Here is a 14298-nt window from a genome sequence, read left to right on the forward strand (position 1 = left end):
AGCCAGGACTACAGGCACGTGCCACCACGCCCAGCTAATTTTAGTACTTTTAGTAGAGACGGGATTTCACCATGTTGGCCAGGATGGTCTCGATCTCTTGACCTCGTGATCCACCTACCTTGGCCTCAAAAGTGCTGGGATTACAGGCCTGAGCTACGGCACCTGGCTTGACTTGGGGCTTTTCTACACTGGCATACTTCTGTGATCTTATTGGAAAGCTGCTGATCAGTTTCGTTTGTTTTCTATCTATTAGGAAACGGCCTTTTCCTGGTGCTGGCTGTGGCTAATCATTACTTTTGAGAAAGTATTAGCAACAACCTGACCATCACCTGTGGTCACCCAACACTCCTGGCGTGTGTATGGTCAAGGGAGCCCTCTCCTGCCCTGCTCACGCCCAACCAGCCACTTCCTGTAACTATAGGAGGCAGCTGCTCCAAGGTGTGTATTTTGGAACACTTGTTGTTGGTTATGAAAGCTGTTCTCCTTTCATGCTGCATATGTCTGCAACGTGTAAGAAGGCCCAGGCTGCTGCTATATTTCTCAAACAGGAGAATGTTATGCTGTCTGCAGTCTTTGTATTTGTAGATCACATAGTAGGGAATTGCAGGCAGCTTTGGGTCAAACCAAGAGCTGTGAGTGAATGTTGGCTTTTCCACATTCCAGCTGAGAGATTTGAGCTGAATTATTAATACCTCTGTACTCTGGTTCCTTTGTCTGAAAAATAAGGATTAAAAGTGCCGATCATATGGTGGTTCTTGGGAAGATTAAATAAACTCATATGTGTAAAGCCCTTAGCACAATTCCCAGCACCTAATCAATGTTTTTGGAAAATTATTAATATTTTTATTACTGTTTTTTCATAAATATAATTATCTTTATATTAATAGCTAGAAGCTAAGATTGGAAATGTGGACAAAAGGTTGCAGGCAGGCAGTATCCCTATTTCAAAGTGTTAGAATAAGTGTTGCATCCCCACCTCCCATATGGTAACAGATCTCAGTAGAGCAGATACAGTTGAGTACCCCTTATCCAAAATGCTGGGGACTGGAAGCATTTCAGTCCCAAGCATTTTTTCAGTTTTGGAATATTTGTATTATATTTATCATATTTGGAAACTGATTTTTTCAGTTTTAGAATACTTGTATTATACTTATCATTGAACATCCCTCATCTGAAAATCTGAAATCCAGAACCCTTCAGTGAACGTTTCCTTTGAGCACCAGTGCTGAAAAAGTTCCAGATTTTGGAGAATTTGGGATTTTGGATTTTTGGATTATGGATATTCAACCTGCACTGCTGCATTTGTTGACCCGGATGACAAGTGAGAAAGAAAGAGCTCCCTGGGCTGGGCGCGGTGGCTCACGCCTGTAATCCCAGCACTCTGGGAGGCCGAGGCGGGAGGATCACGAGCTCAGCAGATCGAGACCATCCTGGCTAACACAGTGAAACCCCGTCTGTATGAAAAATGCAAAACATTAGCCAGGCATGGTGGTGGGCGCCTGTAGTCCCAGCTACTCAGGAGACTGAGACAGGAGAATGGTGTGAATCCGGGAGGCAGAGCTTGCAGTGAGCTGAGATTGCGCCACTGCACTCCAGCCTGGGCGACAGAGCGAGACTCAGTCTAAGAAAGAAAGAAAGAAAAGAAAGAAAAGAAAGAAAGAAAGAAGGAAGGAAGGAAGGAAGGAAGGAAGGAAGGAAGGAAAGAAAGAAAGAAAGAAAGAAAGAAAGAAAGAAAGAAAGAAAGAAAGAAAGAAAAGAAAGAGAGAAAGAAAGAAAGAGAAAGAGAGAGAGAAAGAGAGAGAGAGAGAGAGGAAGGAAGGAAGGAGGGAGGGAAGGAGGGAGGGAAGGAGGGAGGAAGGAAGGAAGAAAGGAAGGAAGGAAAGAAAGAAAGAAAGAAAGAAAGAAGGGAAAGAAAGAAAGAAAGGAAAGAAAGAGGTCCCTGCACCTGTGGGGAAGACATGGGTTGTATTTAAAACTGACACACTAAAAACAAGATCAAATAGGAGAAACAACATTTTGTGAAAGTGCATACTTTAGGAATAGATGTGATTTTCCACAAAGCCTTCAAGGATTATATTTTTGTCTCTGGTTTTCAACGATTTCCCTGAAACTATCAAACAATATCTTGTGAAAGGCAGGATGTAGAGGCCTTAGGGTCTGGGGTCAGATGAAGTTTGGTTGGATACCAGCTCTGACACTTGACAGTTGTGTGGACTTGAAAACATTACTTAGCCTCAAGCTATTTAAATTCTCTCAGTTCCCTTCTATATAAAATGAGTATAATGGTAGAACCTTCCTCCTTGGATTGTCATCAGAATTAAGTGAGGTGAAGCTTGTAAAATGCTGAGCATAGGGCCAAGAACACTGTGACAGCGCCATAATTGGGAGTGACACCCATCCCGGAACACTGCATGGTCCTAAAAATCTGCCAGAGTCTTGTACTCCAAGATCCTTAAGTCTGCTGCAAATGATACCTTACCAGATTTAGCTATAACAATCCTAATAAAGTTCTCCTAGAGGAATGTACTCTTTTAATGCAATGTCTTAGACAGGACTAGGGTATTGGAAGTCTTTTCATACAAAAAAATGTATGTCCTTCAGTAAATTTGGGCCTAATTTTAAAGTATAACCCACAGGCCAAAAATGAAAATTTAGCTCAATTACGAAAGTGTTTTATTGAGCCTTTTTCCTTGACCTGTAAGAGATTCAGAAAGGGGTAAAATAAGGATACGCCATAGGGAAGTTCACGGTGTGATAGTAATAAGCCCTGCTAGTTTCTGGGGTTCCTAGGACCACCTGCCTTTTCAGAAAGATTCATAGGGCTCTGCACATATTGTTTATACAGCTAAGTTTTATTACTGCAATATTGGTCAGGTATTCAGTCAAACCACGTGGGTTATACTGGTGGAGTCAGTAGAATCCATGTGCAGGATTCTCATAATCTCTCTCCCACAAAGGTCACACAAAGCACACTCTTCCCCCAACAGTAAAAGTGCTGAAACATGAATACTGTGTTTCAACGAAGGGAAATCTGTTAAAGACTCAGTGCCCAGGAGTTTTACTGTGGGCTGGTCATGTAGACACCCTCTGTCTAGCAGAGGGTATGGTTTATGTGAACACCTGCTTCTTTCTTTTGAGAAGTCCCCAAATTCCAGACTCCCCAGAGGAAAAGCAGGTGTTCACATAAACAATATCATTTGCACAAGCAGTTTAGGCACACTGGGCGCTCTTATCAGTGAACTATTGACATTGAGAGACAAGTTTCCAGATGAAAAGGGCCAACCTTGACAACAGGCCTTTCTACAGATGACAATTTCAGCCCAGCTGCTCTTTCTTTGCTGCACACCAGGTGTTGGAGGCTGTCCATGAACCAGACCCTTCACGTATGTTATATCATTAAATTTAATACATACACACACACCCCTATACACAGGAGATTTTACTATTTCAGCAAGAAACAGAACAACTTGACCAAGGTCACACCGCTAGGAGGCAGAGAGGTGAGATTAAAACCAAGAAGACTCTTATTCTTATGTCCTCGTTTTTGCTGGTCGCAAAAACCTTCAGTGAGGCAGAAAATTTAGGCGAAGCTTCTCCCAATGTTTCTTTGTCAGCCCTGACAGAAAACTCCTCATTTCCTTGGACTCCTCCTGAATGAAAGCCCAAGGTCTCTTCCCAGCTCTGAAATCACAGGTCATGTTCACCTCCGCATATGTTCGCTGGGGAATGATAGCAACAACTATTTGATAATGTTCTTGTGAATATTCAAAGTCAGAGCACAAGACCAGTTCCCTTTCCTTCGCCTTGAGGGAGTGTAGCAAAAAGCCAGAAATCACCTAAATTACCTTCTTCTTTGTTCTAGGGCTGAAGGAGGAAGGCAGGAGCCAGACAGGCTGAGGTTCCCAAGCTGGGGACCCTCCCGTTCTCTTACCCAGTGTCTAAGCTGCAGCCACTCTCATCTAGAAGACGAAATTCAAATACAGTGTTTCTAACTGAAGACTCACTTCCTAATGCCTGATCTCATTAGCAGTCGGGTTTAAAAGATCCAGCTCAACATAGCCTTGTTAATATTCTTACTCACCTACTTTGGTTTTAATAACATGTGTTCTTGTAACTTTCTCATGTAATGTTTATTTTTTATTGCATGTTTAAATGATATTTTGATTTTATTTAGTTAGAATAAAAATGGCAGATACTAGGTCATTATTTCTGTTCAAGTTTCTCATTCAGTAAGATCTTAAATTGTTCTGATATTTTGCATCCACAACAGAAATAAACAAAATGTGACCAAACAAAATATAGATTACATCAAGTATTTATGGCCCATAAAAACTGCATCCCATCTAAAAACCTTTCCAGGTAATTATAAGTATGCGAAAATAATGTAACTGTGAGGCATTGGAGATGGAATCCATAGTAATCTCTTTAGAACAGTCATAAAAACATTAATTTATGATTAAGTATGCACAATACTCTGTGTGGCCTGGAGCTGAGGAAGTCAAATTCAATCTGAAAAACCCCTTATAAAGAACAGAATTATTTGAGAAGCAAGAGATTGGGGTAGGTCAGTGAATTAAGAAAATAAATGCATTTTGAAAACTTAAGTCTAAACTAGCTATAGGGAGAGATGGTGGTGGGGTACCCCTTCCAGCTCAATGATTCTGAGACTAAGGGATTTGTCATTCCAGTTTATGCACACACATTTGATATTAGTGTCTCCTGCTCAGTGGAGAGGCCCACAATTTAATCAAAATTTTTAGGCAAAGCTAGTGAGAAACCACTGAATAATATTCTTCAGCTGTTAAAACAGATAATAAACATTTCCCTAAAATGATACATTCTTTATTTCAGTGTTCCTAGCACAAATACTGGCAAAACTGCTGTGCAAAAGATGAGTTTAATTTCCTTATTTCGGGTATCTATTGATGATCTCTTACTGAGTCAGTAAACATATTTCCCTAGTCTACAGAAAATAAATATGGGGGCTTGTTGTAATTTGGTTCATATGTCATGATTCCAAAACTGTTATCGAAGCTAGAAATCACAAGGCAAAATATGCTGCATTTTTAAAGATATTAACCAAGTCTATATTTATGAATAATTCATGGCTTGCCAGTGAAGTGGCAGGTTTTGCATACTTTGGCATTAAAAATTAGTCATCTTGCTTCGGTCTACTGGTGTTCTTCAAAGTAGAATATTATCTGAGGAAGGGTTAGAGAGGACATTTAATTAATTTTATTTTGAGATTTAGTGCATTATAAGAATTGCTTAATATAGAACAAAAGTCATCAGCTCAAGGGAAACGAATTTAGTTCATTCACTCCTGGAACTGCTTCCAATATACACAAGACATCCCACATGCACGTTGTCCTAGGGAGGTGGATTTGTGTCCACAGTCATGCTCAATCAAATATTTTATTTTGGCGGTTTCATTGGTTTCCAAATATGTGTTTTTCTCATTGTATTGAAATGCTAGTTTCGTTGTTTTGAATTGCATTGCTTGGTAAAGTTCAGTCTCATTTTTTTTTTTTTTTTTTGAGACAGAGTCTCGCCCTGTCACCCAGGCTGGAGTGCAGTGAAGCGATCACGGTTCCCTGCAACTTCTGCCTCCCAGGTTCAAGCAATTCTTCTGCCTCAGCCTCCCAAGTAGACAGGACCACAGGCATGTGCCACCATGCCAAGCTAATTTTTGTAGTTTTTAGTAGAGACAGCGTTTCACCATGTTGGCCAGGCTGGTCTTGAACTCATCACCTTGTGATCCACCCACCTCGGCCTCCCAAAGTGCTGGGATTACAGGCGTGAGCCACCGCGCCCAGCCCAGTCTCATATCTTAACCTTATTCGAAGTCAGAAAGGATGAACTGTGAACCATGGCTAATTTCATAAGTACTGTGAGTTCTATGCTAATCATGGCATAAAAGGTTTTCAGTAATTAATATTAGTTTCTATTTCTAAGGACAATCTCCTGTACCTGATCATTGTGTGCTTGAGCCATTGACAGACAGGGAATCGAGTCTTCAGAGCTCTGTTTCTGCATTAATCCTTCCTTCCCCACACAATAGTTGACCCTTTGAAGCAGCCAGCTTCAACCTTCTGTGCAGAGTCAGTCACGTGAATATTAAGCAAGACTCTAGGTCAAAAAGTTTCCTCCAACACTGCGTGACACACTCAGTACATTCCCAAAAGACTCCTATAGCAAAGTCAAGACTGCCAAGCCCATACACCTTAGCAGCCCAATTTAAGACATTTGGAAAAATACCCAGTATCACATTTAATGCCTTCTCTCTTGAGCAAAAAGTACCAGACATTCTATATGCTTTTTTCCATCATCTAACAGACTCAGCAGAATGTCAAGAATAGAGAACTCAGTAATTGAAGGAAAAAAGGAGCCAACAGTTCTCCTGCATATGTAGTTTTCGGAAGGTTCAAGCAACACAATCCTAAGCATTAGTAACAGGAACTCTTTAAAAGTTTGTACAATAGATAAAATTGATGATGCCATTTCTTTTGTAAGTTAAACATGTCTTTTGATTAGGACATACAAATTCCCATTGTAAAGGAGCTGTTTTGTCATTTAAATTTAAAATTTTCATTACAACTAAAGAAGGAAATATAAGTACCCAAACCCCTGTATCCCTGAAATAAACAGTATTAACTTCCAGTAGTTTTTCTATATGTATATTTTAAAGAAGATACTATTAAGATAATTTGTATTGCTTTTCCACTTAGTATTATGTCTTAAGAATTTGTGGGACCATTAAAATCTTTGAAAACAGGATTTTTGTTTTCCAAGTTTTAATATAAGTAATACATAATCATTGTAAAGGAAGAGATATGGAAATATACCGGTAAGTTATAAGAGCATCTATATCTAATCTCCCAGGCCCAGCACTGTTCATTAATCCTGATGGCTTCCCATTTGCACATATGTATAAGTGGCAAGCAATATTATTGTGATATTAACTCAAGTGTTAGTAGCACAGACAGGATGTGCAGCAGGATCAATCAAGGTCCACCCACAGCACTATCCTGCAAAGGTTCCAACATCCCATCCAGCCCAGGAGCAATAAAGAGAGCATAGACCATGCTCACTGCTACAGATGAGCAGAGGCTTCTATACCTGTGGAGCCTCACCTGCATAAAATCCAGAGCTCTGGACAATGCTGCAGGGATGGGGCAGAGAGCTTCATTCTCAAAACCACAAAGGCATATTTTTTTCCAAAACCAATTTTAGTAACGAAAGTTATTGTAGTATTGGTAAACCTCTAAGATTTTTGACCAACCTCGGCCTTTGATCCCAACTAGAATAAATGTATCACATAATAAATCTTGGACCATTTTTTTGCCCTTCCAAGCACTGATCTAAGCACTCTGTTAATGTTTACTTTTATAACCCTCATGGTAACAAATCACTATCGTTAAACCAGTCTTACAATTGAGGCGACAGTAAGAAGCACAGAGAAGTTAAGTAACTTATCCAGGTTTACACAGCTTGTGAGCAGGAAGTCAGAACTTCGGTCTGGACTGTAGAATCCTGGGAGCCAATGGTTTTTGGTGCCACAGAGCTGCAGCAGCCTCATGCAGGTGGGAGGGGTGAAGGGAGGCTGGGGATTGAATGGCTTCTGGGGAGTCAGCGTCCCCTCTTCTTCCTCATAAGCTGATATTCTCTGTCTATCACCACCAGTTTTATCAGTACCAATATGCTTTTCACTATATGTAGTTAATTCATGTTAGTTTCTATCTCTAAGAGCAATCTCTTGTACCTGATCACTGTATGCTTGAGCCATTGGCAGACAGACAGTGAATCAAATCTTCAGAGCCCTGTTCCTGCATTAATCCTTCCTTCTCTGCACAATAGGCAACCCTCATAAGCTGATAATTCTCTGTCCATCACCACCAATTTTAGCAATACCAACATGCTTTTTGCCATATGTAGTCAATTAATATTAGCTTTTATCTCTAAGGACAATCTCTTATACCTGCTCATTGATTTATTTTATAAATAAATAAAATATTTATAATTTGTAATGTTTATATTGTTTTATAAATATTAATTTTATAAATCTTTATTTTTCCTTTTTGCCTATATTATGATAAACAAAGCATAAAACTGTTGTACTTTGTGGGCAATGCCCAGTCACGTTTTCTGTTTTTTCCCTTAATATTTACAGTTCCTAGAACATCATCTGGATGCATACGATCCTTGCAGAACAGTTAACACAATACAAAGCCTCTATCCTCATGAACCAGTTACCAACGATTCTGTTCGAGTAATGGAAACTCATGCTGTAGAACAGCAGTTCTCAGTGCTTACTGCACAAGAGAATCACCTGAGGATGGCTTACCTGCCCTTTCGTGATGCCCAAGACCCATCTACAGAAGTTCGGATTGGGGCAGCCTGGACTGGGGGCCTGGGAGTTTTAAAAGTCTCCGGGTGATTTAAACGTGTGCCCAAGACTGATAATCATCTTAGAAAGAGAAAGTTCTATGGATTCAGATGGCTTCAAGGAAAAAAATGATTGTTCCTTGATTTCTTATTAGAAGAATTATCATGGATGAATAAGGGTTGTCCACACCCCTCTGAAGAAAGAAACCCGAAACCCGAGCTGGAGTTTTCTTTCCTGAAGGGAAAAGCTTGTCTTTGACAGCAAAGTAAATTATTAGGAGAGCTTAATTTCAGATTGTGTAGACTCTTTTTTTTTTCTGTTTTTTCCCAGACAAAGTCTTGCTCCGTTTCCCAAGCTGGAGGGCAGTGGCCCCATCACAGCTCATGGTGCAGCCTCAAACTCCTGGGCTCAGGAAATTCTCCTACCTCAGCCTCTCAGGGAGCTGCGACTACAGGCACATGCTGCCATGCCCGGCAAATTTTCCTATTTTTTTAGAGAGAGGTTTTTGTTATGTTGCCCAGGTGGGTCTTGAACTCCTGGCCTCAAGGGATCCTCCCACCTTGGCCTCCCAAAATGCTGGGATTACAGGCGCCAGCCACCACGCCCAGCCTCTGAATGTCTAGACTCTTGATTCTAAGTGGCTGGTATTTCCCAGAGAGAGGAGGGTTGCAATTATGGAGAGTGGGCAGATTGAGGTGGAGTAACTAAGGGGATTGGCCCAGATGATGTGAAAGATGGGTTGTGGATTTCCCCCGTGTGGACCCAGCATCCTGAGCACCCTAGAACATCAAGCGGGTGGAGCTCCGAGCCTGCGCAGGCAGCTGGGCATCTGTTTCCTCTGCAGAGGCTCTTCATCTCCAGCTCAGCTTGAAGGAAGGGAGCTGGCTCTCTCTGAGCAGAAACTATGGATGTCAAACAGGAGACCCCAGGAGCAGTAGCCCGGGTGAACTCAGGACCAGGGGTTTCTTCAATTCTTCCAGCTTGCACAAGTCTCTACGTTCCTGACAATCACAGACAGTGAGGGAAGATCTCCCTCAAAGTTACTCAACTGCATTTTCTACCATCCCTGATGGGTGGAGGCTTAGCCAGACTGAAGCCTATTTAAGAATACAAAGGGATGTGCTATCTATTTTACCTTGAGAGCATGTTGCACTCATGACCTTTACTTATGCTATGATGGATTTGAGGATGTGGGAGTGCTCAAGCTCCACTACTCCACAGAGGATGGAAAAGAAGGAGGAAGGAGTAAATTGTTCAAAGGAAATGCATGATAGACAGAGATAAAGATGTGTAATGTCTTGATTTCGAAATTCTTTAAACACTGGGATATAGGAGACAGTCTGGCCTCCCGAGAGCTTTTAAAACACCACTGATGATGATCACTCTATGCTATGGTCTGAATGCGTGCGCCTCACCAAAATTCGTATGTCCAAGCCTGTCTTGAAGGTGATGCTGTTAGGAGATGAGGCCATTGGAAGGTGATTAGGCCATGAATGTAGAGCCTCACAATGGAATGAGTGCCTTTAAAGGGGGCTGGAAAGACCAGAACCTTTCCCTTCCACCATGCGAGGACACAGGGAGAAGGCTATCTTTGTGAATGAGGTAGTGAGACCTCACCAGGTGTGGAATCCATCAGCTTTCTATCTTAAATACTCAGCCTCCAGAGCTGTGAGAAGTAAATTCATGCTTTTTAAACTACTGAGTTTATGGCATCTTGTGATAGCATCCCAAACAGACTAAGATCTCATGAAGAGAATCATGTAAGTCATTCGAGCCTTTTATGGTTATGTTTTGATGGAGATGAAAATAGAAATCTATGAATTCCTGTCAAAAGTAGTAAAGTGAGTGAAGAAAAATTACTTATTTTATAGATATTTGTCTTGCTTTGTCTAAAACTTGGTAAACTACAGCAATTCTCATAGGGCTCAATCATATTGTAGCTATTTTTTGATACAATATTTTATTTTTATTGCTTATATGAAAAGTTAAAAAGAACATATACAAATATTAAAAAGTAGTAATTTTCACCAGTATTTGTATTATGAGTTCTATTCCATCTATATGTGAATGTTGGATTCCTTTGCTTACTTTTTTTAACAATCTTATAATTGTGCCTGTTTCATAAAGTTAAAATTCATGAAGCCCAGTTAAGATAGTAAGGCTTTTTGAAAGCAAGTTTGTGGAACATTCATTCCTGAATGTAAATGCTGCTATCATATATTATTTTAAATGGCATGATGCTATTATTTGTATTTCAATATTTAAGTACAATGAATTATTTCAACATTTTCCCATTATTGTGACTTATTGATTTTTTAAAAATCAGACATATTGTAAAAAATAAATATCAGCTTCTTAGAAGAAAAGCCAAGTAATTGAATCTCCAGCTTTATTTCTAATTATCTGCAATCTGCTTTCTGTGCAAGGACCTTTTATTTGAGACTTCTATTTGCTCTTTGATATTTTCTTGGATTTTATTTGATTTTCTATGTTTTAACTGTAATTTAAGTTCTCTCTGGGAGGGCAGTTTATAATTAAAATTATTCCTAATTGTGTGTTTTTATTTCACTGCTGCTTAATGAGAGATTATGAGACAATTTGGTGCATGCAGGGAGAGCTTAGATCGTAGAATAGTTGCCATTTGGGGAAAGATTTCTCTATTTTTAACCTGTGTAATGCAGACCAAAGCTCAAATGAACACAATATATTTACATGGACTAGGAATATGGCTGTGAACCAAGGAAAAAAATGACTGTCAGCCTTTGCCTGGATTTCTCGTTGGCATTCAGATTTATAAATAAACTTGGAAAATTGGAGATTGTTATGCGACTTCAGTGCATGATCCTATCCATGTGCTCTGGCCAGTCAAATGCAACTAGAAGTTCTGCTGGCCCCACGGTTCTTTGACCCAGTTGGCCTTTAGGACTGTTACATACACTCTACAAAACTTGTTGTTAATTTCACTTTATTTCCTCCTCTTCAGCCCCATCCCTCATTAGCCTCATTTCTTCCTACAAGATTATCAGTAAAAGGAGAATCCCATCAGCATGAATGATATCAAGGCTTCCATATTCAATGATTTGCCTATAAAATCCTTGTTTGTACCTGCAATGTATTCATTATACCCCTGATTTTAATTTAGTCTAATCAACACAAGAAAATTTCTGAGAGAGAGAGAGAGAGAGAAAGGACACGTTGAAAATACAGTATAGCTGTGATCATCAGAGTGCACCACTCCCCAGAGAATCCTATAGATGTAGCTCGTAGGAACTTTTGTCAAGGACAAAACACAGGAGTTACATTGTTAACTTTTCTTGTCATTAATTTTAACTCTTTCCTTAGGTTATACCATGGTTGTTAATAAAGTTTTGGAGATTGTGAGTGGACCCACCTGGCAACTATGGGCAATGTAAGTTTTCCCACAGTTACTGCGACTGCCACAGTTTTCAGGGTTTCTGTGTAGCCAAAGCCCATACACATGACCCAGGATTTTGGTTGGGATACATGCAAGAAAGGAGAAAAGGAAGGATGTGATCCTTTGCTGGGTGTTTTCATATTAGTGGCTCAAAAAAATTATACAAGCGGATAGAGGCAAGGGCAGGATGCCACTGACCTTAGAGAAGGGACCTGAAAAGCTGGCATGACACAAAATCATTTTCAGTTGTATCGTGAAGGCCAAGGGGAAATGGGACAAGGAAAGAAAGTCTAAGGATATCTCACATGGAAGGAAGAGCAAGGTGCACATGCATAGAGATGAAAAATATGTCCCCACTTTCTGAGAAAGGCAAGAAGTTGGTCCAGCACTGTAAGGACAGCAGTTGGAGGAGGGTAGGGGAAGAGCCCCACAAGAGACTGAGAAGCAGGCTTGAGTTATCTGCATTCCATAGGTGGAGTTAGCACACTTCTACATAAAGGAACAGAGAGTAAATGCTTTACACTTTTCAGGACAGTATGTGCCACAACTATTGAGCTCTTCCATTGTCTAGCAGAAGCAGCCATAGACAATTTGTAAGCAAACGTCCGTGGGTATGATCTAAAATAACTTCATTTACAAAAAGACACATGATACCATGGTTGGACCCATCGACTGCAGATTGCTGATTCTGTCCATGGATGGAGAAATTATAAGATCAGTGAAATTATCATATGACTTGTAGGTAGTAGAGCCCAAATCAGGCTAAACTATTCTGTTTTGTTCTGTTTTATTCTAGTGTTCTTTCTTCCTCTCTGAAATCTGAAATTACGCCACATTTCCTTGTGGATGGGGCAGAGCATTGAACACTGGGTGGTGTGGTGGTGGTTCTGTGTCCCACAAACAAAGACAACGACCAGGCTATGTCATGTTGAACTCTGTGTGGCTTCGGTAAAAGAGACTTGCTGTCCATGGAAGAAACCTGAAGTTATTGTAAATCTTATTTGAATCATCCAGGTTTCTCAGTTGTAAGCAAGGGAAAGAACCTCTGGTTATTTTACAGAGAATGGAGATGCACTAATGTGATACTGGGTAGGCTCATGTAATCACAGGAGGATAGTAAGGAAAGGCTTAGAGGATACCCAAGGAGGGAAAATGCCCCAAGTGATGCTAAAGTATTAGTCCCATCAGGGGACCAGGAAGGCAAGTGCTGGGGGAAGACCATTAACAGAAGGCTGTGAGCACTGCAGCTGAAACCACTCCCACTGATACCCTGGGAAAAATGGTGTAAACACTGCAGATGCACCATCCTTCCAGAAATTATGCCCCTCTGCATTACAGTTCCCCAGAGAAATAGAACCAATAGGAGATAGATAGATAGGCAGATAGATGGATGGATGGATGGATGAATGGACAGATGGACAGATGGGCGGACTGACAGATAGACAGCCAGTTAGATAAATAGATGGATAGGTGGATAAATAGATTCATACATACATTACATAGATACATAGATACATGGGTGGATGGATGGATAGATGGATGGATGAATGGATGGATGGATGAATGGGTGGATGAATAGATTAGATAGAAATAGATACATAAATACATTGATACATAGATACATGGATGGGTGGATGGATGGGTAAATGGATAGACTAAATAGAGATAGATAGATAGATAGATAAGAGGGGATTTTGGGGGGAGAACCAGGTACAATTAGGATGTTGAGAAATCTCACAATATGCTGTCTGCAAGCTGGAGAACCAGGAAAGCTGCCAGCATGGCTCAGTCCACATCTGAAGGCCTCAGAACTAGGGGGAGAAAATGGTGTAGCTCTCAGTCTGAGGTCAAGGCCTGAGAACCCAAAGGCCACTGGCGCAAGCCTTGGAGTCTGAAGTCTGGAAAATGTGAAATTTTGATCTCTCAGGCCAGGAGAGGGTGGGCGTCTCAGCTCCAGGAGAGAGAGGGAGAAAGAGAGAGGTAGGGATAACTAATTCCTCTTTCCTCTTTTTGTTCCAATCTGGTCCTCAGCCGATTGGATGGTGCTGCCCACAATGGGTGAAGTGGATCTTCCTTACTTAGCTCACTTACTCAAATGCCAATGTCTTCCAGAAATACCCTCACAGGCATACCCACTGATAGGGTTTGGCTGTGTCCCCACCCAAATCTCACCTTGAATTGTAATAATCCCCACATTTCAAGGGCAGGGACAGGTAGAGATAATTGAATCATGGGGGCAGTTTCCCCCATACTGTTCTTGTAGTAGTGAATAAGTCTCACAAGATCTGATGGTTTCATAAATGGGAGTCCCCTTGGACAAGCTCTCTCCTGTCTGCCACCATGTAAGACATGGCTTTGCTCTTCCTTCATCTTCCATCACGATTGTGAAGCCTCCCCAGCCATGTGAAACTATGAGACCATTAAACATCTTTTCTTTATAAGTTACCCAGTCTCGAATATGTCTTTATTAGCAACATGAGACTGGACTAATACACCC

The 14298-nt window shown here is 40.8% G+C and overlaps 1 long non-coding RNA gene across 2 annotated transcripts in view; it reads right to left on the minus strand.

Moving 5' to 3' along the window:
• Nucleotides 1-5059: 5059 nt before the first annotated feature.
• LOC100996671 (uncharacterized) overlaps nt 5060-14298 on the minus strand; it is a 37373-nt gene continuing 28134 nt past the window's right edge. For both annotated transcript variants that reach the window (NR_110035.2, NR_110034.2), the window contains one exon: nt 5060-5201. This is a non-coding gene — a long non-coding RNA (uncharacterized LOC100996671). The remainder of the gene's footprint in view (nt 5202-14298) is intronic.

This window comes from Homo sapiens, chromosome 12, assembly GCF_000001405.40.
Source record: "Homo sapiens chromosome 12, GRCh38.p14 Primary Assembly".
In the NCBI taxonomy this organism is placed as follows: domain Eukaryota; kingdom Metazoa; phylum Chordata; class Mammalia; order Primates; family Hominidae; genus Homo; species Homo sapiens.